Raw genomic sequence first — 25978 nt, 5'->3', positions numbered from 1 at the left:
GCGCACGCGCAATGGTCGCAGCCGCGTTCTCTTTAAGAGGACTCCTTTTGCCTCCGCCGACCCCTTCGCTTCCGCTCCGCGTTCCCACAATGCAGTGCGGCTGAGCGCCTCGGAGCCCGCGGGGACGCTGCGGGGGGACCCGTGCTGAGGCGGCGGCGGCGACGTGGGCTGCGGCGGGCCCGCGGCGTCGGGCGGTGCGGATGTCGGGCTGGGCGGACGAGCGCGGCGGCGAGGGCGACGGGCGCATCTACGTGGGGAACCTTCCGACCGACGTGCGCGAGAAGGACTTGGAGGACCTGTTCTACAAGTACGGCCGCATCCGCGAGATCGAGCTCAAGAACCGGCACGGCCTCGTGCCCTTCGCCTTCGTGCGCTTCGAGGACCCCCGGTGAGGCCCCCGCGCCCCTGCCCTCTCCTCCTCGGTGCCTGAGGCCCCCGCCTTCCCTGCTGTCCCCTCCCCCAGGGCTCCCCTCCCCCCGGCCTCCCCTCCCCCCGCCTCCGCGCAGACCCCTCACGGCGCCCCCTCACGGGTGGAGGATGAGGCAGCCTCTCCTCGCAGGCCCGGGCCGTCCTTCGCGCCGTCGTCACTTCCTTTATTTTTATTATTCCAATATTTTACTTAGAAACCCAAAAGCTGAGCCTTTGGAGGGCCCAAGCCCGCCTGCACCGGCCTCGGGGGGTCCAAATGAGCCTTGTCCGCCTCCTGCCTGGGGCAGCACCGTAGGGGGAAGCGGCCGCGGGGCAGCGCGGGGGTCGCCGTTCGCCCTTCCCGCTCGCCTCTCCCCCGGCCCGTGCTCGCCGTGGCTGGAGAGCAAGCTGCAGGGTCGCGGATGCCGCTGGAGGTCGTGGAGGGATCTCTGGTGGAATAGCTCGCCGTTCGCGCGCCCCGCCCCGCAGGCCAGGGCCCGGGCTTTGTAAAGGGATCACGGATTCGGGAAAACTTCTAAAACAGCCGGAGTGGGGCTCTGATTTCACTTCCCTCCTTTGATGAGGGAGGCTTGGCGAGATGCTAAAGGTTCCAGGGATTTGGAAACTCTAGATTCCTAACCCCGCTCTAAGGAGTGCTTGTGATTTTGCAAACAGCGTCGGCCCTCAGGCCGGAAAAAGCCCAGGAACTTTCAAAACTGTGGTTGGTGGTGGTTAGCAGCTGCGGCGCTGACCTGGTCACTCCACTCCGGCCAAATAAGAGCCCGCACCCTGTTTTCCTAGCATCATTTGCTCCCGGGGAACGCGGAATGTTCGTAGGGTGTCCGACCTACCTGGGGTGGACGTATTGATAGGGCAAGGGGAGCATCTGAGGAAGGGCAGGCAGGAAGCACCGCGAGGCGTTGATGGCTGAAGAGTCGACTCTGACAGCTCATCCCTAGTATCTCCTCATTTGCCTCAAAACCGGAACTGGGCATTTTTACCCCTAAGCCGGAGAAGGCTATGCCTCGCTTATTTAGTAACCGTGCCATTGTGGTTTTTCAACAGTTGCTATGGGTCAAGTGCCATGGTGTGTATTTAGCTTTTTTTCTTTCCTTCTTATTTTTTTAGATTGATAAATTAGGGGTTTCACCATGTTGCTCAGGCTGGTCTGGAACTCCTGAGCTCAGGTGATTCTCCCGTCTCAGCGGATCAAATTGTTAGGATTACAGGCGTGAGCAACCCGCCCAGCCTGTATTTAGTATTTTTAACAATTTATGAGGTGTAGGTACTATTTTTTTTTTTTTTTTGAGACAGGTCTTCACTCTTGTTGCCCAGGCTGGAGTGCTGTGGTGCGATCCCGGCCCACCGCAACCTCCGCCACCTGAGTTCAAGCGATTCTCCCGCTTCAGCTTCCCAGTAGCTGGGATTACAGGCGCCCGCCATCATGCCTGGCTGATTTTTCTATGTTCAGCAGATACGGGGTTTCTCCATGTTGGCCAGGTTTGTCTTGAACTCCTAACCTCAAGTGATCCACCCACCTCAGCCTCCCAAAATGCTGAGGTTACAGGCCTGAGCCACCACGCCAGGCCGGGATCAATGGATTTGAACTCCCTCTTCTGTTTTTCGAATGCAAACTTACTATATGATACGCTACATTGTCATCTTCCCTCATTCCTTTCATAATAGAAAAACTATCTTTTGGTGTCACTAGATGTGAAGATTCAAGCAAAGCATTTCATGTAGTATCTTATTTAACCATTACAATAACCCTGTGAGATAGGCATACTGTTCACATTAGAGATGTAAAAACTTGATTAAACACTTACCCAGAGATGACTACTAGTAATTTGCAGAATAGTGATTTGAATGCAGGCTAATTTTATTTATTTATTGTATTTATTGAGATGGAGTCTGGCTCTGTCGTGCAGGCTGGAGTGTAGCGGCACAGTCTCAGCTCACTGCAACCTTCGCCTCCTGGGTTCAAGAGATTCTCGTGCCTCAGCCTCCTGAGTAGCTGGGATTACAGCTGCGCGATGCCATGCCCAGCTAATTTTTATCTTTTTAGTAGAGACGAGGGGTTTCACCAGGTTGCCCAGACTGGTCTCAAGCTGCTAACCTCAAGTGATCCACCTCCCAAAGTGCTGGGATTACAGGCATGTGCCACAGCGCCTGGCCTGAATGCTGGCCAGTTTTTATTCAGAGTTGTTCTGACCTCCTAGCAGTTCTGCCTCTCCCAGTCTGCATTTTACGTAGTCAAGGTTGCACTGGATATGGTCATTGTTGCTTTTAGTTCTAAAATCTTACAAGTGATTATGTGCCTGTGACACTGAACAATGCCTTCATTAGCACATTCAGCTCCTCTTGTCCACCCAAGCTCCAAGGTCACACTTTCTACCATCCAATACTGGAGAATCAACGTGGCATTCCTGACTCTCCTAGAGTCCTAGGAAAGACTTAAAGTAATTTTATTGAATATTTATCTCTTTTGGCAAAATTGTATCCAAAGAATGTTTTTTGACAAAAATAGTTCTCCAAACCATGCTGAAAAGGTACACTTAGAGTTCCAAGGCCAGGCGCAGTGGCTTATGCCTGTAATCCTAGCACTTTGGGAGACTGAGGGGAAGGATCGCCTGAGCCCAGGAGTTCAAGACCAGGCTGGCCAGCAGAGGGAGACCTGTCTCTACAAAAAATCCAAAAATTAGCTGGGTGCAGTGGTACACGCCTGTGGCCCTAGCTATTCAGGAGGCTGAGGTGGGAGGATTGCTTGCGCCCAAGAGTTAGAAGCTGCTGTGAGTTATGCTCCAGCCACTGCACTCAGCCTTGGTGACAGAGCAAGACCCCGTTTCAAAAAAAAAAAAAGTTCCACATTCATCACAAAACACTCATTTGCATTTTTCTTTTGTCCTTTGAGCCTTATTTATTTATTTTTTTAAAAGACCGGGTCTCACTATATTACCCAGGCTGGCCTGACCTGGGCTCAAACATCATGCCCAGCTACTTTATTTACCCTCAAATACTCTCCTATCTAACTGGCTACTTTTTTTTTCCTGTTTTTTGGGACAGGGTCTCTGTCACCCAGGCTGGAGTACAGTAGTGTGATCTTGGCTCTGCACTCCCATCTCAGCCTCTCAAGTAGCTGGGACTACAGGCGTGCAACACCATGCCTGGCTAACCGCCTACTTTTTATTTCCATAGACTTTATGGCACTAGGCTTTGTAGAAAAATATTAAGGGGTTAGTGTGTGGTGTGCTTTTCGAGAAAATGCTCACGAAGATTAGAAAAACACTGATGGTTTATTGGCAAAATCAATAATCTGTCAGCAGTTGATTCTTTTTTTTCTCTGAATTAGCCCTCTTATGAGTAATCTGTTTGCTCATTCATTATAATTTCATACCTCTAAAACTGCGTGTGACAGCTGTAAAGGTTAATTCCAGTATCATGAAACGTCTCCAAACCAAAGCAGAAGTGCTTCAGGATCCTGATTTGTGTGTTTTTTTCTTCACTCTAGGTTTCCCTTTTATGCTTACTACTCATGCCCCTCACTTGGAAAGTCACTTGGCCTCCTGAACAGCACTAACTCCAAACGTTTTTTTTGTTGTTGTTGTTTTTTTTAGAGATGCAGAGGATGCTATTTATGGAAGAAATGGTTATGATTATGGCCAGTGTCGGCTTCGTGTGGAGTTCCCCAGGACTTATGGAGGTCGGGGTGGGTGGCCCCGTGGTGGGAGGAATGGGCCTCCTACAAGAAGATCTGATTTCCGAGTTCTTGTTTCAGGTATGTTCCTTTCAAACAGAATGAGATGATACATGTAAAATACTTAACACAGAGTCTGTCTTCCAAGAAATGATAGCTGTTATTCTTCAGTGCATGGGACACGGGGGCTTTCTTTTCAATAGCCTGTGTGAAGCCTTGCCCTGGATTGCCAATGAGGAAAGTATCCTGCAAATGAAATTGCGCTGGGAGTGCAGCCTTGGAAGAACATAACCATATTTCTTGTAAAGGAGTTTTCTAGTGGTGAGAAGGAAAGATGATGGGAAAACTTGAGCTACAATTCTAAAGATGCTTCTTTTGGAATATACTTGGCATCAGACATGGTAGAAAGGCATTCAAGGAGCCAGATTTGAACAACTTACCCAGCCTTGGATCCTGAAGAAGATCAGATTTTGTGGTGGTTTTAGAATTAAATATTTTTTAAAACCCCGTAACTTAAGAGTCTTAGAGATTTTATTGGAAAGTATAGACTATTTCTGTCTAGTGTTTATAAGTGATGAAATGCTAAACTGGGAGGTTTATCTATCTTCAAAATATTAACACACTGGAAAGACCTGGGGCCTTCTGCATATTGCATGGGAGTTTTAGGGCCCTGGTGGAATGAAATAAATCGAGGAGCCTGGCACCTTTTTAAGATGTGAATGTCACACAATCACAGCATACTCCCATGTGCTTAAGAGTGATACTCTCAGTATCTGCCTATCTTGTGTCCCTTTGTAATTTTTTAACCCCAGAACTCTATTCCCTCCTTCAGGATGTCATACATTATCTTTTTTTCTCTCCATGCTGCTCTGAAATCCTGCTTAGAAAACTATTAGGAAATGGCTGCAGTCCTGAGCTGTGAGCGGTAAACACAGCCTTTGAGAGCAGGAGCACATTTCCCTTTCATGACATCAGGTAGGGTTGTATGACTCCCGACTAGTTTTAGCATCTGAGTCTTACCTTCCCCCCCACTGTATTGAAGAATGTTGGTGATCTTTTAAGAGGTACTCTGTATAGTTTGTCATTCATACCTACAAGAAAACAAACTTTAGATTTTTTGTTGTTGTGTTGTTACCTTCAGCTACTCTTTGGTTATTTCATGTCTGGTTTCAAAATTCCCATGTCCTGTGAAACCCTGTCAAGCAATAAATAATTGGTACTGTTAAATTTCATAATGGAAAAAATTGGAACTCAAAGTATTAGGAGTTTGGCATTGATTTTAAAGGACAAAGAAAGAGGCTATGAATTCTCAAAGATACTAAACCTGTAATGGGATGGACTTCTTGCTCTGTTGAAAAGGCCTGGTCTCTGGAAGATGAACTTAAAACCAGCTTCTCAAGGTGGTTCATTTACCACACATACTTCAGTGCTCTTTTCTGATTTCATGTCCCTTATCAAGGTTTATGATTTGGGGACCCTCAGGATTTAAGTGATCATGGAGAAAGGACCATAGGTATTGCTGGCTCTTAACAGGGCAGTTAACATAGCTGAAGGATGTGGGCTTTCTTATGTTCTCCATGCCTAGGACTTCCTCCGTCAGGCAGCTGGCAGGACCTGAAGGATCACATGCGAGAAGCTGGGGATGTCTGTTATGCTGATGTGCAGAAGGATGGAGTGGGGATGGTCGAGTATCTCAGAAAAGAAGACATGGAATATGCCCTGCGTAAACTGGATGACACCAAATTCCGCTCTCATGAGGTGGGTCCTTGCCTTCTGTTGAGGAGCTTGTACTCAAATCACTCCACTTGAACCTGACCTAGCAGAGGTAGCAAGAGGCCATGCCATTTGGTAACCTCACAGTACCATAAGAGATCTATCTTAGGTGGACAAAGCCATGGAATTTGCTATGCCTAAGTCCTTCAGGGTCATAGCTGAAAGAAGTATGCATTCATGGTACGTTTGTTTTTTAATATGCTTTATTCTGCATATTAGTATCACATTACACAGTTTGGTCATGGTATTTGTAACCTGGAGAGAATACTAGTGCAGTCGGTCTTCATACCACCCCATTCACAACCAGCTTAAATGGCAGTATCCCTCTGTGAACTCAACTACCCCTCCTGTGGGTCCAGGCTGAGCTCTACAGGTCAGCCTCTTCATCTCAGCCCTTCTAGGTCCTGCTGTCAGGGCTGAGCTGTCACTTCACTTTTTTCCCAGAGTAGTGCAGCATCCTCTCTGAAACCTGAGCTATCATGACATTTTCTTTTTTAATTTTATAATTTTTATATTTCTCTAATTTTTGATTTTAGAGACAGTCTCATTATATTGCCGAGGCTGACCTTGAACTCCTGGGCCCAAGCAGTCCTCCCACCTCAGCCTCTCCAGTAGTTGGGACTGCAGGCATGCACCACTGTGCCAGGCTAAACCGTAACATTTTCTTGTGGTTGATTATGTCACCCTTCAGACTCAGTAGTTCTTGATGTCTTTCCTTGTAGGAAAGCAGCTGCTGTTTTGGATCTCAGTTTGATTGAGGTGGTGACTATCCCTTTGGTACCATTGAGACCAGAAACCAGACCAGTTGGACATTGTTTTTTTCTGGTTATCCTGTCCTGCCTTACTATGAGATTTACGGATGTTTGGGGACACAGGTCTCTGGGCTCATTTCTTTTTCTGAGGATTCATATAATTGCCTAGTTTTTGGCTTAGAGGTTGGTCCTTCCCTGGTTTAATGATGCTTTTGTTCAGACTGTCCTCTAGGACTTGAATTTGAAGCAGAAACAGAACAGCACCTGATCCTCAGTTATACTGCAAAGCAGGGCCTCAGAAAGGGTAACTCCAATTACTGACTTTCACCTAAGGTGAAAAAGCATCCGGCTTCTTTCCCCTTGGCATCTTTGGATCTTCTGAGAATGGTGGCTGAAGGCAGAGGGCCTGGGGACAAGCCAGCCTGGACATGACTCCTCTGCTGCTTATTAATTCCTTACCTGAACTACTCTTGGGACCTCGATTCCTTCATGGGCAAAATGGTCACATAATAGCACCATCACAAGACTTGCCAGGAATCTAGAGCAAGAGGATAACGTCTAAAGCATCTAGCTCAGGTCCTCACATCTGGAAGGTATTAAATACAGGCTAGCTCCTTCCATAGATGCCCATCCAAAGATGCATACATGAGGTGGCAGGGGATTAAACTATATGACCCCTGAGATCCTTTCCAGTTCTTAGCTTTGAGGGGGGTCAATGGCAGTAATTCAGATATATTGTTTATCATAGTTAATTGAGTATCAACATGTCAAATTGGCATTTATTGTGTTACCTTGGGCAAATGATATAACTTAAGTCTTAATTTTCTTCATTCTTGAAATGGGATAGTAAGAGTACCTACCTCATAATGTTATGAAGGTTTAATGAGATAGCCTCATGCCAGGCACAGAGTACACAGTAAGTGCTCAATACTTAACTATTATTGTTAGATGTTGGTTTGCTTATTCTTCTGGCTCTGATTTTTTTCCCCTTTACTCTTTTTGTTTTTGTTTGCATTTCAGGGTGAAACTTCCTACATCCGAGTTTATCCTGAGAGAAGCACCAGCTATGGCTACTCACGGTCTCGGTCTGGGTCAAGGGGCCGTGACTCTCCATACCAAAGCAGGGGTTCCCCACACTACTTCTCTCCTTTCAGGCCCTACTGAGACAGGTGATGGGAATTTTTTCTTTATTTTTTAGGTTAACTGAGCTGCTTTGTGCTCAGAATCTACATTCCAGATTGAGGATTTAGTGTCTTAGGAAATTTTTTTAATTTTTTTTTTTTAAAGAAGAAAAAAAACTACATAATTTCTACCAGGGCCATATTAGCAGTGAAACATTTTAAACTGCAGAAATTGTGGTTTTGGTTCAGAAACAAGTTGTATATTTTTCACCCCTGATTATGGGAAAAAAATCAGTTCTGTCTTTGTGGGTTGCTCTACTATGGAGATCAACAGTTACTGTGACTGAGTCGGCCCATTCTGTTTAGAAATATATTTTAAATGTTTAGTAATTGACATGTGTGGTTGTCCTTGATTAAGTTCACAGATTTCACCAAATAGGCACACTAATTTAAAAAATCACTGAGTTGTAGTCATAACTTGTACCCAGTTAGGAGCAGGGGTAGATAACTTTATTTATATGGGGATAGACAGTTGCTCTGATGTTGGTTTGAGAACGTAAACTCCAAGAGCGGGTTCTGGGTTCTCTTTTAATTCAAGGCCAAGCTTGTAAATTAGGCTGCCTTAAAGAAAAAAGCATTGCAGATAAAGGAAGGGAATGGGAAAAATAAACACACGGTGGCTTTTGCCTGTGATCCTAGCCCTTTGGGAGGCCAAGGCATGCCAGAGGATCCCTTGAGGCCAGGAGTTCACGACCAGATAGGCAACATAGCAAAACCCCCACCTCTACTTAAAAAAAAATTAACTGGACGTGGTGATGCACATATGTAGTCCCAGTTACTTAGGAGGCTGAGGTGGGAGGATCACTTGAGCCCAGGAGTTGGAGGCTGCAGTGATCTGTCACCACTGCACTCCAGCCTGGGTGACAGAGGGAGACCCCTGTCTCAGAAAACTAAAAAAATGAGCAGCAGCATAAATATTATTGGGAAATTCTTAGCCAAAACCAACTTTGGCAGTTTGGTTAGAGGAAAAACTCTCTGATTCTATCACTTTTTTTTTTTTTTTGAGACTTGCTCTGTCGCCCAGGCTGGAGTGCAGTGGTGCGATCTCGGCTTACTGCAAGCTCCGTCTCCCGGGTTCACGCCATTCTCCTGCCTCAGCCTCCCGAGTAGCTGGGACTACAGGCACCTGTCATCACACCCAGCTAATTTTTTGTATTTTTAGTAGAGATGAGGTTTCACCGCATTAGCCAGGATGGTCTTGATCTCCTGACCTTGTGATCCGCCCGTCTCAGCCTCCCAAAGTGCTGGGATTACAGGAGTGAGCCACTGCGCCCAGCCCACTTTTATCCCTAAATAAGTTTCATTTATCCTTGGTATCTGAGTTTTATCCTGGACTCATCTCAATTTAATAATCATTTTGGGGGCGGAGAGGGCTCCTTTGTCCCAGGCCCAGGGCTAATTTTAGGATAAGTTCTCTTTTCAGAAAGAGAAACACTAGGTATGACTAGTATCCCTTTGGCATATAATCACTTTGTGGGATGGCAGATAGTTCTAGGTTAGGAGTTCCCAAGCTCTAGTCTACTTTCAACACTCTTCAGACCTTAGTAGGAAGTTAGCCCTCTTCTGGGAAGAAAGTGGGAGCCCAGGAACAAATTCAGGTATGTTCGGTAAAGATAGGGCTGCTCAAATCAATGCAAATGGCAACTAAAAATGACAGCCAAGGTTGTCACATAGTGATCAAGATGCTCCGTCTACCAGTTACGTAGATAGAAAAGTTCACTTTCATGCAGTTGGTATGGTCCTTTGGGGGGAGTTAAAGGCAGATAAATAATGTCTTCCATACTGAACAGGCCTGTTAAGTGAATTCCTTGGAAGCTGACTTTTGCTTTTCTTTCACCTCAGTTAGCATCAGGAACTCACTGCCTTGTTGGGGCCAGATCTTTCCCAATTCTGTCTTCAGAAGAATCTGTTATTAAGAAATGCTTGAGCATCCATTTTTTCAGGGGACTGAAAAAAGCAGGAACATTAGTATTCACAGTAAAAAAATACTGTCATTATGCTTCCACATGTTCACAGAGTACCCCCTTTCCAGAATGAGCTACTCAGCTGTGTGGGAATGGCTCTTGTTCATCCAGCTTTGGCAAAGAGATATTACCTGTTTGAAAATAACAAAAGAGAATTTTTGTTTGTTTGTTTGTTTTTGTTTTGAGACAGAGTCTCGCTGTTGCCCAGGCTGGAGTGCAGTGGCGCAATCTCAGCTCACTGCAGGCTCCGCCCCCTGGGGTTCACGCCATTCTCCTGCCTCGGCCTCCAGAGTAGCTGGGACTACAGGCGCCCGCCACCTCTCCCGGCTAATTTTTTGTATTTTTAATAGAGACGGGGTTTCACCGTGTTAGCCAGGATGGTCTCGATCTCCTGACCTCGTGATCCGCCCTCCTCGGCCTCCCAAAGTGCTAGGATTACAGGCATGAGCCACCGCGCCCGGCCACAACAGAGAATGTTATAGCTGAGCCTGCCGCCCAGCTGGCTCTACTGAGCTAACTGATCACTACTTTCTCATGGAAAATATGGAAGTAATGTAGCTACTGTCCTGTTTTCCTAACTGGGAGTATCTGAAAGAATCAGTTCTAAGTGTAGCCAAATTCACCTTTTTCAGTAAGGAGTATACAGGTTGATTAGCCACTAATATGCAGATAGGACTAGAAGGAAACACTGACCATGAACTCAGGTGGTCCCAAAAAGCAAAGTCTGAAGTAAGGTTCTGTGTGGGAGATAGCATGTCTGATCAAAAGATATTTCTGCTGGAGCCACAACTATCAGGCTCTGAGATGGAGAGTCTCCTTTCTCTCCACAGTTAACAGGTGGTTTAGTGGATTGGAGGCATGATTAAGAGTTTAGCTCACGGCCGGGTGCGGTGGCTCACACCTGTAATCCCAGCACTCTGGGAGGCCGAAGCGGACGATCACGAGGTCAGGAGAGAGAGACCATCCTGGCTAACACGGTGAAACCCCGTCTCTACTAAAAATACAAAAAATTAGCCAGGCGTTGTGGTGGGCGCCTGTAGTCCTAGCTACTTGGGAGGCTAAGGCAGGAGAATGGCATGAACGTGGAAGGTGGAGCTTGCAGTGAGCCGAGATCGCGCCACTGCACTCCAGCTTGGGCAACAGAGCAAGACTCCGTCTCAAAACAAACAAAAAGTTTAGCTCACAAAATTTCTAGCTTTCTTTCCCATCCTTGCATCAACCAGAGCCTGCCTTTAACTGGCACCTTAAGCTGACCAGGGCCAATGTCTTCTGTGGAGTCTGCTCAGAATGATTCTCCCTCAGGATATCCTGAACTGGAAGTTGGCACTTAGCAGGCTACCTGATTGCTTTTGGCTAGTCCCACTCCCAGATGCCCAGAGGGGTAGTACAACAGCTCCAAGTATTCACCTACCTGCAGAGGAGATAAAAACAGTCAACCTATCCAAGGTTCTGGATTTTACTGTCAGCCCAGAGTAATTTTAAAGCTTCTATTTAAAATATTTACAGTAGGTAGATGATGCAAATCTCTATACCAGCTGTTGTAAACTGATGGCTCACAGACTGCACCTGGCTTGCAGATGTGTTTTATTTGGCTTGGATGGTATTTTGTTTTTTAAATTTTGAATTGGTTGCTAGCACTTAAAATTTAAGAAATATCGGCGGGGTGCAGTGGCTCACCCCTGTAATCCCAGCACTTTGGGAGGCTGAGGCGGGTAGATCACCAGTTCAAGACTAGCCTGGCCAAGATGGTGAAATCCTGCCTCTACTAAAAATACAAAAATATTAGCCAGGCATGGTGGCAGGCACCTGTAATCCCAGCTACTCGGCAGGCTGAGGCAGAGAATTGCTTGAACCCGGGAGGCAGAGGTTGCAGTGAGTCAAGATTGCACTCCAGCCTGGGTGACCGAGCGAGACTCCATCTCAAAAAAAAAAAAAAAAATTTAAGAAATATCACACAAAATGTCAGGTATCCAGGTTCTCTGGAGAAATGGGTTTACATTCCTGCCTGGCAACACTGATAGGGTAGCAGCCATGCTCCTCCTGCTTTGAATGGGCACAGACTGAGGGCAGACCCTAATGGCGTTTGAATCATGTCATAGGCAAAGATGTGACAGAAACATCTGGGCTAAGGCCACACATGATAACTAAGTTGTCACAATAAGATTCGTTTTGGGAGGCCGAGGTGGGTGGATCACCTGAGGTCGGGAGATCGAGACCATCCTGGCTAACACAGTGAAACCCTGTCTCTACTAAAAATACAAAAAATTAGCCAGGCGTGCTGGTGCATGCCTGTAATCCCAGCTACTGGGGAGCCTGAGCAGGAGAATCGCTTGAACCCGGGAGGTGGAGGTTGCGGTGAGCCGAGATTGCACCATTGCACTCCAGCCTGGGCAACAAGAGCGAAACTCCGTCTCAAAAAAAAAAAAAAAAAAAAAGGATTCTTTTAGGAAAGGACTGGTTTTTTTGTGGTACCCAGCCCAAAGCTAGACCTAACAAATATTTATTCATGGTATGAATACTAGAAAGTTGGAGTCGATTACAGGATCTGGCAGGGTCTTAACTGTGGCTTTGAGAAACACTGAATGCCAGCTGCCCCTTTAGGGAGATCTTGAGCTCCAGATTTCCACCTACTTTAAACCTCCCGCATGCCCCCAATCCTGTTTTGCTTGTTCCTGTTACTAACTGCCCCCTAGAGGTGAGTATGACCCTGGACCCTACTGCCACCTTAATGCCACCATCTGTATGCACTTCATCCTTTTCAAAGTGCCTTCACATAGCATCTTTGGTCCTCATGCTTCCTGCTTCATTCCTAAGGTTACTGTGAGACTATCTGTTAAACCATTCTGGGCAGCACGTACCTGGGGGGGCCACAAAGTACTCCTCCACGACGCGATGGGAGTTTTGTAGTAATTCATCAGCACAGTTGCCTTCTACCACATTGTCGGATCTCAGGTATAGACATCTACAAAACCCAGAAGCTCAAGGTTACCCTCTCAGAGAAGGGGGCTTTTAGGGGATGATGGAGAGGGGCAAGAAGGAGAGAACAAGGAAGCAGTATATTCTTGAGTTAATGGGCACTGTTCAAAGATAGAGAAGCTGGGATCAACAGTAGACCAAATAACAGCCTACAGTTTATAGATTGACCGAACAACCCTGAGAAGTAAGTGCTAATTACTTCTCTGGATTGATTTAACAAATAGTTTTTGATGATTATATGGGCAACTGTCTTTTGGTGGGGACAGGTAAAAGCAATTACAAAAACAATATTTTAAATCTAACAGAGGTTAGTACAGCCTGCCAAAGGATAGAAAGGGTACCTAGTCCAGCCTGCGTGAGTAGCACATCCTCAGAATAGCTGATGTCACTGTTCAAGGATGGGCAAGAAATAGCTGGATTGGGGGATGAAGGTATGAGAAATGGACTTCCTGGCACGTATAGCAGCATGAATCCCAAAGCAATAGAGCCGAGAGCTCAGAGATTCAGAGAAGGACAGGGAGTTTAGCAGGCTGGGGTGTGGTCTGCCGGGGTGGAAGATGAAGCTGGAAAGCTAAGCAGAGATGGGGAAGCAAACTTGCCACAAGAGTAACTTAAGGATGTTGGCTGCTAAGTAACAACTGGGATCTCAGCCCAATCTGATACACCTAAAATGAATGCTTTTTCCACCACAGCCACTTTGGTGGATGTGCCTGCCCTTGAGCAAGATGTGCCACCAACAGCTCAAGAATCTCCCAGTGTTCTGTGGGACCTAGTGACTTTACTAAAGCCTTCAGATGGCAAACCGGTAAAAAACACACAAGAGCTTGAACATTTGCATGAGGCTTCACTATTGTTTCAAGGTGTAAAAGTGTGTAAGCCTGCTTCCAGATACTTAGATTAAAAAAATAAGCAGTCTGTTAAATCACTGATATGGTATTCGGTAGTAGCCACGCTCCTCCTGCTTTGAGTGGGCACAGACTGAGGGCAGACCCTAATGGCGTTTGAGTCATGTCAGAGAGGGACAAAGATGTGACAGGTACATCTGGGCTAAGGCTGCACATAAGAACTAAGTTGTCAGCCGGGCGCGGTGGCTCACGCCTGTAATCCCAGCACTTTGGGAGGCCGAGGTGGGCGGATCACGAGGTCAGGAGATCGAGACCATCCTGGCTAACACGGTGAAACCCCATCTCTACTAAAAATACAAAAAAATTAGCCGGGCGTGGTGGTGGGCGCCTGTAGACCCAGCTACTTGGGAGGCTGAGGCAGGAGAATGGCGTGAACCCGGGAGGCGGAGCTTGCAGTGAGCCGAGATCGCGCCACTGCACTCCAGCCTGGGCGACAGAGCGATACTCTGCCTCAAAAAAAAAGAGAACTAAGTTGTCACAATAAGATTATTTTAGGAAAGGACTAGTTCTTTTTTTGTGGCACCCAGCCCAAAGCTAGACACAACAAATATTTACTCATGGTATGAATATTAGAAAGTTGAAGTCTGTTACAGGACCTGGCACATTCTTAACTGTGTGGCCTTGAACAAGTATGATCTTTTCAGACATTAAATTTCTTGGAGGGGGGCGGCGGGGTGTGGGGGAGAAAGGCCAGGTGTGGTGGCTCTTGCATGTAATCCCAGCACTTTGGAAGGCTAAGGCGGGTGGATCACCTGAATTCAGGAGTTCAAGACCAGCCTGGGCAACGTGGGGAAACCACATCTCTACTAAAAATACAAAAACTAGCCAAGCGTGGTGGCACGCACGTGTGATCCCAACTACTCGGGAGGCTGAGGCGGGAGAATCGCCTGAACCCAGGAGGCGGAGGTTGCAGTGAGCTGAGATGGCACCACTGCACTCAAGCCTGGGCGACAGAGCAAGAAGAAAAAAAAAAAGGCCAGGCACAGTGGCTCAAGCCTGTAATCCCAGCACTTTGGGAGGCCAAAGCAGGTGGATCACCTGAGGTCAGGAGTTCGAGACCATCCAATATGGTGAAACCCTGTCTCTACTAAAAATATAAAAGTTAGCCGGGCATGGTGGTACATACCTGTAATCCCAGCTACCTGGGAGGCTGAGGCACAAGAATCACTTGAATGTAGGAAGCAGAGTTTGTAGTGAGCGGAGATCACACCACTGCACTCCAACCTGGGTGACAGAGTGAGACAGTGTCTCACACACACACACACAAAAGAGAGTTGTACTAGATTTTTTTTTTTTTTTGAATAACACAAGGACTGTATTCATTTAAGAAAACTTGGGAGAACAAAAGTAAAATAAAAATCATAATTATACTATTCAAAGGTAACCCTTGGACTTTCTGGAGTTTATAGTTTCTGTTGGACAGTATTAAAAAATGGCTAAGAGGCCGGGCGCGGTGCCTCATGCCTGTGATCCCAGCACTTTGGGAGACTGAGGCGGGCAGATCACGAGGTCAGGAGATCAAGACCATCCTGGCTGACAGGGTGAAACCCCGTCTCTACTAAAAATACAAAAAAAAAAAAATTAGCCAGGCGTGGTGGCGGGGGCCTGTAGCGAGAGGCTGAGGAGGGGAACGGCGTGAACCCTGGAGGTGGAGCTTGCAGTGAGCGGATATCATGCTACTGCACTCCAGCCTGGGCGACAGAGCAAGACTCCGTCTCAAAAAGGCTAAGAGCTTAGGCTCTCAAGTCACAGCTGAATTCAGATCCCATTGCTACACATTACTTATCCTCTCTATATTTCAGTTTCCTTGTTTGTTGAATGCTTCATAGGATTTCTGGGAAGATTAAATGAAATGTTAAAAAAACAAGATCTGATAATGCTGAGCCAGCATTCACGGCAGTAAGAGGGCTCTGAGTAGCACCTGCTCCTTTCAGAAAGCCTTAGTGCACCCCAGTACATCTCAGTCCCTACCACTCATTCAAAGTCTGTGCACTCCTGATGAGGCACAACCTGCCTAGCATCTGAAGGTTTGGGAAGACTCTCTACTACCGCCAATAGGCGGTTAAATGCTACTGCTTCCCCAAGAGTAGATCTAATAGCAACTAATCTATTTACTCATCAAGTAATCAAGTTTCATAATTAAGTTTCCTGCGTAAGTGAAATTTCCAGGAAAACAAAATTCACCCCTTTACATACCTTTCTATTTATGTATGTATGTACATACATACATACATTTCTATTTAGTTATTGGTTATGATGGAGTTGTTCCTAAAATAGACACATTTTCTGGGGTTGGTTTTTTGTTGTTGTTGTTGTTGTTGTTGTTTTACTTTTTTTTTTTGAGACAGGGTCTTGCTGTGTTGCCTAGGCTGGTCTCAAACTTCTGGGCTCAAGTGATCCTCCCACCTTAGCTTCCCAAGCAGCTGGGATTACAGGTGTGCACCACCATACCTAGCTTTATTAATTACAGGCTCCTGAACCCACGGTCTCTGTGACAGTGGTACAGCAAGCATACCTCTCACTTGGTGAGTTGCTTCACTTTCTTGGACCTCAGAATTATATAAAACACTGAACAGGACCAGATGAGCTTTTCAGATCAATTAATGATTGACTAAACTTCTACCTCACCACCTGTCTTTCCCAATCAGGGTTCTGTAAGATAAGTTAGCCTACATACCCCAAGACACCCATTCTGATGATAAGTTAACTTATCTCCTGTGTGTTTAAGCTAACATTTGTCATATACTGTCCTTGGGAGAACTGAAAAAAAGTCACTTGAATCTTTCTGTGTTCTGGTTTGGCTGAGGAACCCTGGTTGAGAAAGACTTCAGTTGTAAACTAGAAGTCCCTGCTGGTTAAAACTCAGGAACAATAACTTAAGTAACTGTGAGAAATGCTGCTACGGTGGCATTGGAAAGTGCTGTGGCAACAGGGAGGACAAAGTGGCTCCATTTGTGATTCTGTCAGCCCTTGGACTCACTGATGGGACCGTTCTCCCACTGCTTTTCTTTCTTTGAGCTTCTTTTCTGCTATCTGGCTGGAAGGAATAGCTTCTTGTGGACCCCTCTACTTCCATCTAAAAGCCTTCTCCCTTCCTCCTACTTTATTTCTAGTTTGATGCAGACTGGAATGGGGGCTAATTAACTTGGTTAAAAGTTCTGAGCCAGGCAAGGTGGCTCACATCTATATTCCCAACACTTCAGGAGGCCGAAGGGGGTGAATTGTTTGAGCCCAGGAGTTCAAGACCAGCCTGGGAAACATGGTGAGACCCCATCTCCCCTAAAAAATACAAAAGTTAGCCAGGGGTGGTGGCGTGTGCCTATAGTCTCAGCTACTCGGGAGGCTGAGGTGGGAGGATCACTTGAGTTCAGGAGGTGGAGTCTGCAGTGAGCCAAGATTGCGCCACTGCACTGCAGCCTGGGCAACAGAATGAGAAAAAAAAAGTTCTGGATTCAGGCCAGGCATGATGGCTCATGCCTATAATGCCAGCACTTTGGGAGGCCGAGGCAGGAGGATCACTTGAGCCCAGGAGTTCGAGACCAGCTTGGGCAACACAGCAAGATCCTGTCTCCACCAAAAAAAAAGTAACAAAGAAAAAAATTAGCTGGCCATAGGGGTACACACCTGTAGTCCCAGCTACTTGAGAGGCTGAGACAGGAGGATGGCTTGAGCCTAAGAGTTTGAAGTTTTTGGTTCATAAGACTATGAGGGACATTTAAGTATTTGGCTGCAGAGTTGCTGTCAACTCATTCTCTGGATTTCAGATGAAAGAGAGTAAAGTTCCTAGGAATCGACTTTAGCTGGCATATCTTAGAACAGTATTTGGCAGCAGAAGCTCTGAGTTCCAAATTCTCTGCTTATTACCTGTGAAACTTTGGGCACATTATATAACCTTTCTGAACCTCAGTTTTTTCCATCTATATAAAATAGATAACTTGTATTGACCTTCCAGGACTGCATGTGAAAATTGAAATAATTTAGGCCGGGCACGGTGGCTCATGCCTGCAATCCCAGCACTTTGGGAGGCCAGGGCAGGCGGATGACCTGAGGTCAGGAGTTCAAGAGCAGCCTGACCAATATGGTGAAACCCCGTCTCTACTAAAAATACAAAAATTAGCTGGGCATGGTGCCGGGCACCTGTAGTCCCAGCTACTTGGGAGGCTGAGACAGGAGAATTGCTTCAACCTGGGAGGCAGAGGTTGCAGTGAGCTGAGATCGTGCCACTGCATCCAGCCTGGACGACAGAGTGAGACTCCAGCTCAAAAAAAAAAAAAAAAAAAAGAATTTATATAATTTATTAGCCCCTGGCATGTAAGCATACTGTTTTTACCTCAAACCAAATGACATGTTATTAGTGTGCAAAGGGGTTTCTATTAGCCAGTCAAGGCGTTTTTTGTTTGTTTGTTTGTTTTTTTGAGATGGAGTCTTGCTCTGTTGCCCAGGCTGGAGTGCAGTGACGTGATCTCGGCTCACTGCAACCTCTGCTCCCCAGGTTCAAGCAATTCTTCTGTCTCAGCCTCCCGAACAGCTAGGACTACAGGAGTGCGCCACCATGCCCGGCTAATTTTTGTATTTTTAGTAGAGAAGGAGTTTCACCATATTGGTCAGGCTGGTCTCGAACTCCTGGCCTCAGGTGATCCACCTGCCTCAGCCTCCCAAAGTGCTGGGATTACAGGCGTGAAACACCACGCCCAGCCTTGTTTTGTATTTTTTAAGACGGAGTCTCACTCTGTCGCCCAGGCTGGAGTGCAGTGGCTCCATCTTGGCTGACTGCAACCTCTGCCGTCCTGGTTCAACCGATTCTCCTGCTTCAGCCTCCCGAGTAGCTGGGATTACAGGCGCCTGCCACCTTGCCTGGCTAATTTTGTATTTTTAGTACAGATGGGGTTTCACCATCTTGGCCAGGCTGGTCTTCAACTCCTGACCCCATGATCCACCCACCTCAGCTTCCCAAAGTGCTGGAATTACAGGTGTGAGCCACCGCGCCCAGTCTACCTTTTTTTTTTTTTTTTTGAGATGGAGTCTTGCTCTGTCGCCCAGGCTGGAGTGCAGTGGCGTGATCTCAGCTCACTGCAACCTCCGCCTCCTGATTTCAAGCAATTCTCCTGCCTCAGCCTTCAGAGTAGCCGGGATTACAGGCATGCACCACCATGCCCGGCAAATTTTTGTATTTTTTAAGTAGAAACAGGGTTTCGCCATGTTGGCCAGGCTGGTCTCGAACTCCTGACCTAAAGTGATCTGCCTGCCTCGGCCTCCCAAAATGCTGGGATTACAGGAGTGAGCCATTATGCCCGGCCAAGTCAGGGCTTTTATAGCTAAGATGCCTACTACCTAAAACATTTAAGCAACTTGGCCTCCTGCAAAGAAGGATGGTGAGAAGAATGGCCATTATGCCATCAACTAGGTGGTGACCCAAGAGTACACCATTAATATTCACAAGTGTATCCATGGAGTGGGCTTCAAGAAGTGTGCCCCTCAGGCTCTTAAAGAGACCGGAAATTTGCAATGAAGGAGATAGAAAACTCCAGATATGTGTATTGATACCAGGCTCAACAAAGCTGTCTGGGCCAAAGTAGTAAGGAATGTCCATACTGTGTCCATGTGCAGTGGATGGTCCAGAAAACATAATGAGGTTAGAAATTCACCAAATAAGCTCTATACTTTGGTTATATACTTGTTACCACTTTCACAAATCTACAGTCAGTGTGGATGGGAACTAACTGCTGATCATCAAATACATCAAATGAAGTTATAAAAACTACAAAAAAATAAAAAATAAAAGGTTTAATACTTGTCTTCACTTTACATTCTGTGTGTTCAAAGCATTAAAGTCCTACAGATGTCACATTAAAATGATTAATGGGAATTATTAACCCAAACTGGTTTCCAAATTTATGAAAAACAGTACAGATCACTGAATACGAGGTTGAGATGCTAGCTACTGGATCCAAATTCCTCATCTTTTTTCACGACCTTTTCCCTTATTAATGATGGTTATATTTCTTTGTATTTACCCTCTAGATAACTTGGGGAAATTCTGATGACTCTGTGCTTCTAGTCCCTCCTTTCCTAGAGATATTAATAAAGAACACTGGGACCGGGCATGGTGGCTCATGCCTGTAATCCCAGCACTTTGGGAGGCCAAGGTGGGCAGATCACCTGAGGTCGGGAGTTTGAGACCAGCCTGACCAACATGGAGAAACCCTGTCTCTACTAAAAATACAAAATTAGCTGGGCGTGGTGGCGTGCACCTGTAATCCCAGCTACTTGGGAGGCTGAGGCAGGAGAATCGCTTGAACCTGGGAGGCAGAGGTTGTGGTGAGCTGAGATCGCGCCATTGCACTCCAGCCTGGGCAACGTGAGCAAAACTCTGTCTCTAAAAAAAAAAAAATTCATTAAACATTTACTGTGGCCGGGCACGGCAGCTCAAGGCTGTATTCCCAGCACTTTGGGAGGCTGAGGCAGGCAGATCACCTGAGGTCAGGAGTTCAAGACGAGCCTTGCCAACATGGTGAAACCCCTCTCTACTAAAAATACAAAAATTAACCAGGCATGGTGGTGCATGCCTGTAATCCCGGGTGCTCGGGAAGCTGAGGCAAGAGAATCTCAAACCCAGGAGGCAGAGGTTGCAGTGAGCCGAGATCACGCCACTGCCTCCAGCGTGGGCAACAGAGTGAGACTCCATCTCAAAAAAACAAAACAAAACAAAACAAAACACATTTACTGAATACTCAGTGCCAACCACTGAGAACATGATAAGGAAAAACAGACATGCTGTGGAAGGTGGGTGAGCAGGAGAGGGGCAGAGACTCAACACATCCCTTAAATAGATGTATAAACGCATGTATAAATCAGCCCTTTTGGATATCACGAGAGCCACAGGTAGAGAACCTAAGTATAGCCAGGCACAGTGGCTCACGCCTGTAATCAGCACCTTTGGGAGGCTGAGGTGGGCAGATCACGAGGTCAGGAGATCGAGACCATCTTGGCTACGGTGAAACCTCATCTCTACTAAAAATACAAAAAATTAGCCAGGCGTGGTAGTGGGCACTTGTAGACCCAGCTACTTGGGAGGCTGAGGCAGGAGAATGGCATGAACCCAGGAGGCGGAACTTGCAGTGAGCCAAGATCACGCCACTGCACTCCAGCCTCAGCGACAGAGCGAGACTCTTGTCTCAATTAAAAAAAAAAAAAAAGAACCTAAGTATAAAAGAATGAAGACTTGTGGCTCACGCCTATAATCCCAGCACTTTGGGAGGCCGAGGCGGGTGGACTGTGAGGTCATGAGTTCGAGACCAGCCTGGCCAACATGGTGAAACCCCGTCTCTATTAAAAATACAAAAATTAGCTGGGCGTGGTGGCGGGCGCCTGTAGTCCCAGCTACTCGGGAGGCTGAGGCAAGAGAATCACTTGAAACCGGAAGGTGGAGGTTGCAGTGAGCTGAGATTGCACCACTGTACTCCAGCCTGGGTGGAAGAGTGAAACTCCGTCTCAAAAAAAAAAAAAAAAAAAAAGGAATGGACTTTTTTGGCCAGTGCAGTGACTCATACCTGTAATCCCAGCACTTTGGGAGGCGAAGATGGGCGGATCACTTGAGGCCAGGGGTTCGAGACCAGCCTGGTCAACATGGTGAAACCCTGTCTCTACTAAAAATGCAAAAACTAGCTGAGTGTGGTGGCGGGTGCCTGTAATCCCAGCTACTCCGGAGGCTGAGGCACAAAAATCACTTGAACCTGGAGGGTGGAGGTTGCAGTGAGCCAAGATCATGCCACTGCACTCCAGCCTGGGTGATGGGGCAGGACTCCACCTCAAAAAAAAAAAAAAACTTTCTTGAGGAAGTGGGAGGCTGAGGCAGGAGGATTGCTTGAGACCAGGAGTTTGAGACCATATGGGGCAACATGGCAAGACCCCGTTTCTACAAAAATTTTAAGTATTAGCCAGGTGTGGTGGTGCACACCTATAGTCCCAGCTATTTGGGAGGCTGAGGCAGGAGGATCTCTTGAGTCTAGAAGTTTGCGACCAGCCTGGGCAACATAGTGAGACCCCGTCCCAAAGGAAAAAGAAAATTGCAAAGTAGAGAAGACATTTGAAAGAATCAAACACGGCCAGGTGCTGTGGCTCATGCCTGTAATCCCAGTACTTTAGGAGGCTGAGATGGGTGGATCACCTTTGCTCAGGAGTCCAGACAAGCCTGGGGAACATGGCAAAATCCCGTCTCTATCAAAAATACAAAAAATTAGCCAGGCCAAGTGGCACGCGCCTGTGGTCCTGTACTTGGGAGGCTGAGATGGGAGGCTCTCTTGAGTCTGGGAGGTGGACATTACAATGAGCTGAGATCATGCCACTGCACTCTAACCTGGGTGATAGAGTGAGACTCCATCTCAAAAACAAATAAAATAAAAATTCAAGGCAGGAATAAAACAGTAACTACATAATGAGCTCACATTTTAATAAAAGAGATATAACAAATGAACAAAAGTCCATTAAAATGTTAGGGAAAAAACCCAATAGGATGAGTTACTAACTAGAAGGGGAGAAGGGATTTGGAGTGGTTAGGAGAGCCCTTTCTGAGAAGATAAGCTGAGACCTGTGCCAAGAGGGAGGCAGCCATGCAAATACTGAGAGGAAGGAAAAAAACGAAGGGCCAGTGCAGAGATCTAGAGAGGAAAAGAACTTGTCTTGCTGGAGAAGCAGTCAAGGTAGCCAAGGAGAGTACTGAGAAGAGTACGTTGGAGTGAGTAGGTAGGGACTCTATGGAGTAGGGCCTTAAAGGCGATGATTAGGCCAGGCGCGGTGGCTCACACCTGTAATCCCAGCACTTTGGGAGGCCGAGGCGGGTGGATCACGGTCAGGAGTTCAAGACCAACCTGGCCAAGATGGTGAAACCACGTCTCTACTAAAAATACAAAAAAAATAAGCCGGGCCTGGTGGCAGTCGCCTGTAATCCCAGCTACTCGGGAGGCTGAGGCAGAGAATTGCTTGAACACGGGAGGCGGAGGTTGCAGTGAGCCGAGATCGAGCCACTGCACTCCAGCCTAGGCAACACAGCGAGACTCCGTCTCAAAAAAAAAAAAACAAAACAAACAAACAAAAAAAAAAACAAAGGCAGTGATTAGCAGTTCGGGTTTTGTTTCCACTTACACTAGCGAGAGCATCAGTAATGAACAAGGGGAAGAGTGAAGCCACTGACTCGCGAGGTGACTGTGGGCAAGTTCCTGAATCTTGCTAACACTCTTTAACCCCCTGGAAAACTGTTCGCTAATCGTCACATTAAACGGCTGCGAACGGGCCACGGTCAAGGCTTCGGGGCTGCAGCCGCGAGTTTACCTGTCCTCCAGGACCGATTCCATGGGCTCCACCCCGTCTGTGTCCACGGCGCGTAGCCGGTCGGCGAAGGCGATAGCTTTCTCCAGTCGCGCCACTGCCTCGCGGCTGCCGAAGTCCACAAGCGCTAGACGCTCCAGGTGCTCGATCACCGCAGCCGTGATCCGGCCACTGCCCTGGAGGAGGGATGAGGCGGGGAGTGTGGGTCACCGGCGCTCCGAAGTGCCTCCCGGCTTGCTCCGCCACCCGCCTAGATGGCCCTGGCCTTTACCTGAGGATCCGCCTTGGAGGTGAAGCCCTGGCGCCCGCCCAGAGGGGCCCGAAGGCCCAGCCACACCAACCGCGACCACATTTCTTCCTTCCTTGGCCCCCGCAGTGCGCCCGCGCGTAACGCCGAGCGACGCGCCTGAGAGTGATGACATCAGAGTGCGCCGTCGTCGCCGCCGCCACCACTGTCGCCATGAACAGTGTGGGGGAGGCATGCACGGACATGAAGCGCGAGTACGACCAGTGCTTCAATCGCTGGTTCGCCGAGAAATTTCTCAAGGGGGACAGCTCCGGGGACCCGTGCACCGACCTCTTCAAGCGCTACCAGCAGTGTGTTCAGGTGAGCCCTCCCGCCTCTGTTCCCAGGCCCTGCATTCTCGGCGCTGTGTCCCACCACACTCATCGTATTTTACGGGGATTGGGACTGGACTGGAAGGGTGGAGAAAAGTCGCAGTGAGGCCAGTGGCAGGAGCTCGCTCCCCTACCATCACCACCGAGGCCACTTGGGTGTCTCTCCGAATGACAAATATTGGGGCAGTGCTTTTCAAGAAGCACAGTCACATCCTTTGGTTCATTTGGTGTTCACCCTAAACTCGCAAGGTGGGCATAGTTACTCATATTTTATACATAAAAAACTAACACCCAGAAATAGGAAGTGATTAATCCGAGTTCACTAGCATCAGGTTTCCTTGGTTCTTTCGCAGGTGGTGCACTTTTCCACTATTACTGCTGGGGTCTGGGCGGGATTATACTTCAGAATTCAGACTGGAGGGTCACATTTTTTTGTTGTTATAAACCCTTCGTTAGCCTGTTTCTCTCTCTTGACCAGTCCCCGCAACTGCAGCCAGGAAATGTTTATTCTGGCCCAATGGATGTGGAACTGCTTTGAATTGTTAAGAACAGCACCGGGCAAAGCACTTCCAATAAGTTAACCCAACACATCCTCACAGCAATTCCCCGAGGTAGTTGCTGTCTTCATCCCATTTACAGTTAGTCACATAGCCAGTAAGTCCTGGAACCCAGATTTGAACCTAAGTCTTTCACTAACACAAAGTGATGATTATTTTTCAAATTTCACTTAATTTTAACGGTTCCCTCACAACTCCTTTTCCAGTCTCCCTCAGGTCTTACACTTGATTTATTCATTATGGTACTTCTGGTTTTTATTTATTTTTGAGGCAGAGTCTCACTCTGTCTCCCAGCCTGGAGTGCAATGGCACAATCTCAGCTCACTGCAACCTCCGCCTCCCAGGTTCAAGCTATTCTCATGCCTCAGCCACCCGAGTAGCTGGGCTTACAGGCATGCGCCACCATGCCCAGCTAATTTTTGTATTTTTAGTATAAACAGGGTCTCGCCATGTTGGCCAGGTTGGTCTCTAACTTCTGGCCTCAAGTGATCCACCTGCCTTGGTCTCCCAAAATGCTGCGATTATAGGCGTGAGCCACCACACCTGACCGGTACTTGTTTTTTAAAAAGTATGTGGTTTGAATCATGGTTATAAGTCTTTATAATCAGCTTGATTTTACTTTTGTACTGTCATATTTTATTTACAAAGCTTGCAACTTAAGCTTCATGTAGGTCTTTATAATGTGTTTTCTCCTCCTACCAGAAAGCAATAAAGGAGAAAGAGATTCCTATTGAAGGACTGGAGTTCATGGGCCATGGCAAAGAAAAGCCTGAAAATTCTTCTTGACCTTGACAGTCACCTTGAAGGATTTCGCAAGTCCAGAAATTGAGGACTCTGGATTTTTGTCAACTAACTCTGTGAACATAGCCATCAGATTTGATGAGGAACTTAGGAGAGAGGAGTTTTATTTCCTCCTTCGATGTTTTCCTCTCAGTTGTAAAAGATGAACTCTTTGAGATGATTTCTCACCTGCTGTGGTATCTTGCAGGAACTGTGTGCTAAAATTGAACAATTTTTTTGAGATTATGGTTGCAATACTTGGCGTGGAATCAGCTTTACATAAATATACCTTGTATGCAAACGATGATAAACTAGTCAGGATGAGCAGAGCTGCCTGACCTCTTGATTTCTGCTGCAAAAGACATATACACTGTACTGGGGTCACTATTTATGAAAGCAATTGGTTAGGACCTCTTTTTTTCCTCTCAGGGAACTAATGCTCTGAAAAGGGATCTGGGCACAACAGTTTCAGTGAGTGCTTTTGAGCACACTTTTATTTTTATATAGTAACTAATGGTTAAGATTGATGGTGGCCTGGATTAGCAAAGAGGAAGACAGCTTTTAACACAGTTCCCTGCCTTCACAAGAGGTGTCAGATTAAGATGTGAAAGCTGCAAGAATGTTGCAGTGAACACCATTTCAGAGCTCTCAGTGTGCAGTTCAGGAATTAAGATACTTGGAATAGCTGTGGAGGAAGAACCTAAATTGCAAAGATCTGCTATTGCCAGCTCTCAACCCAAGTCAGTGAATTGTCAACCTGCATATCCTAAAAATGTCAAAATGCTGCATCTGGTTAAATGTCGGGGTAGGGGGGAAGCTGAAGGTGCTCGCTTCATTTGCCTTGTTTACTCATCCTGCCCTGTAATGTCTGTAATCCTGAAGATGGAATAAATTGTAACATTTAGTTTCTATCATTATTTGCCTCTGGAACTCAGTGCATTTTATGGAACTATTACCCTGTTACCCTACAAACCTCATATATACAGTGGGGAGAGTTTTGTGTTTTGTAACTTAAAGGTGAAGAAAAAGTGACTTGTCTTAAGCTA

At 46.8% G+C, this 25978-nt stretch overlaps 3 protein-coding genes and 1 pseudogene across 4 annotated transcripts, besides 8 other annotated features; 3 read left to right on the top strand and 1 right to left on the bottom strand.

Moving 5' to 3' along the window:
• Positions 62 to 8138, top strand: SRSF9 (serine and arginine rich splicing factor 9). Its single transcript, NM_003769.3, has 4 exons — positions 62 to 388; positions 4023 to 4183; positions 5688 to 5860; positions 7648 to 8138. The coding sequence occupies exons 1-4, from the start codon at positions 201 to 203 to the stop codon at positions 7789 to 7791; spliced, it is 666 nt and encodes a 221-aa protein (NP_003760.1). The 5' UTR covers positions 62 to 200; the 3' UTR covers positions 7792 to 8138.
• Positions 104 to 403: a silencer, noted in NCBI's record as "silent region_4951". NCBI's record gives its function as "represses an Ori minimal core promoter by ATAC-STARR-seq in GM12878 lymphoblastoid cells {active_cell/tissue: GM12878}" and the evidence as "EXISTENCE:reporter gene assay evidence [ECO:0000049][PMID:35858748]".
• Positions 654 to 823: a silencer, noted in NCBI's record as "silent region_4950". NCBI's record gives its function as "represses an Ori minimal core promoter by ATAC-STARR-seq in GM12878 lymphoblastoid cells {active_cell/tissue: GM12878}" and the evidence as "EXISTENCE:reporter gene assay evidence [ECO:0000049][PMID:35858748]".
• GATC (glutamyl-tRNA amidotransferase subunit C) lies at positions 6061 to 23366 on the bottom strand. Of its 2 annotated transcripts, NR_033684.2 has the most exons (5): positions 23249 to 23366; positions 22981 to 23153; positions 14780 to 14877; positions 12631 to 12734; positions 6061 to 9903 (listed from the first exon to the last, which is right to left on the bottom strand). NR_033684.2 is itself a non-coding variant. In NM_176818.3 (4 exons), the coding sequence occupies exons 1-4, from the start codon at positions 23327 to 23329 to the stop codon at positions 9851 to 9853; spliced, it is 411 nt and encodes a 136-aa protein (NP_789788.1). In that variant the 5' UTR covers positions 23330 to 23366; the 3' UTR covers positions 6061 to 9850. The 2 variants fall into 2 exon arrangements, 1 of the variants encoding a protein (NP_789788.1); NM_176818.3 differs by lacking the exon at positions 14780 to 14877.
• RPL31P52 (ribosomal protein L31 pseudogene 52) lies at positions 19008 to 19345 on the top strand (annotated as a pseudogene).
• Positions 22551 to 23396: an enhancer, noted in NCBI's record as "H3K27ac hESC enhancer chr12:120884217-120885062 (GRCh37/hg19 assembly coordinates)". NCBI's record gives its function as "activates a minimal SCP1, AML or CMV promoter by ChIP-STARR-seq in naive H9 embryonic stem cells {active_cell/tissue: H9 hESC(naive)}" and the evidence as "EXISTENCE:reporter gene assay evidence [ECO:0000049][PMID:30033119]".
• Positions 22551 to 24244: a biological region, named in NCBI's record as "BRD4-independent group 4 enhancer GRCh37_chr12:120883528-120884727".
• Positions 22886 to 24085: an enhancer, noted in NCBI's record as "BRD4-independent group 4 enhancer chr12:120883528-120884727 (GRCh37/hg19 assembly coordinates)". NCBI's record gives its function as "activates an origin of replication core promoter dependent on BRD2, P300/CBP, MED14 and CDK7 cofactors, and independent of BRD4, by STARR-seq in HCT116 cells {active_cell/tissue: HCT116}" and the evidence as "EXISTENCE:reporter gene assay evidence [ECO:0000049][PMID:35650434]".
• Positions 23122 to 23671: an enhancer, noted in NCBI's record as "active region_7144". NCBI's record gives its function as "activates an Ori minimal core promoter by ATAC-STARR-seq in GM12878 lymphoblastoid cells {active_cell/tissue: GM12878}" and the evidence as "EXISTENCE:reporter gene assay evidence [ECO:0000049][PMID:35858748]".
• Positions 23230 to 23524: an enhancer, noted in NCBI's record as "tiled region #3971; HepG2 Activating DNase unmatched - State 1:Tss, and K562 Activating DNase matched - State 1:Tss". NCBI's record gives its function as "activates a minimal TATA promoter and a strong SV40 promoter by Sharpr-MPRA in HepG2 and K562 cells {active_cell/tissue: HepG2 | K562}" and the evidence as "EXISTENCE:reporter gene assay evidence [ECO:0000049][PMID:27701403]".
• Positions 23397 to 24244: an enhancer, noted in NCBI's record as "H3K27ac hESC enhancer chr12:120883369-120884216 (GRCh37/hg19 assembly coordinates)". NCBI's record gives its function as "activates a minimal SCP1, AML or CMV promoter by ChIP-STARR-seq in naive and primed H9 embryonic stem cells {active_cell/tissue: H9 hESC(naive and primed)}" and the evidence as "EXISTENCE:reporter gene assay evidence [ECO:0000049][PMID:30033119]".
• Positions 23426 to 25846, top strand: TRIAP1 (TP53 regulated inhibitor of apoptosis 1). Its single transcript, NM_016399.3, has 2 exons — positions 23426 to 23584; positions 24855 to 25846. The coding sequence occupies exons 1-2, from the start codon at positions 23438 to 23440 to the stop codon at positions 24936 to 24938; spliced, it is 231 nt and encodes a 76-aa protein (NP_057483.1). The 5' UTR covers positions 23426 to 23437; the 3' UTR covers positions 24939 to 25846.
• The last annotated feature ends 132 nt before the right edge of the window (positions 25847 to 25978 follow it).

The sequence above is a fragment of the Homo sapiens genome, chromosome 12, assembly GCF_000001405.40.
Source record: "Homo sapiens chromosome 12, GRCh38.p14 Primary Assembly".
Classification (NCBI taxonomy): Eukaryota; Metazoa; Chordata; class Mammalia; order Primates; family Hominidae; genus Homo; species Homo sapiens.
The sequence above is the reverse complement of the archived record's forward strand: the minus strand, read 5'-3'. Positions and strand labels throughout refer to the sequence as shown.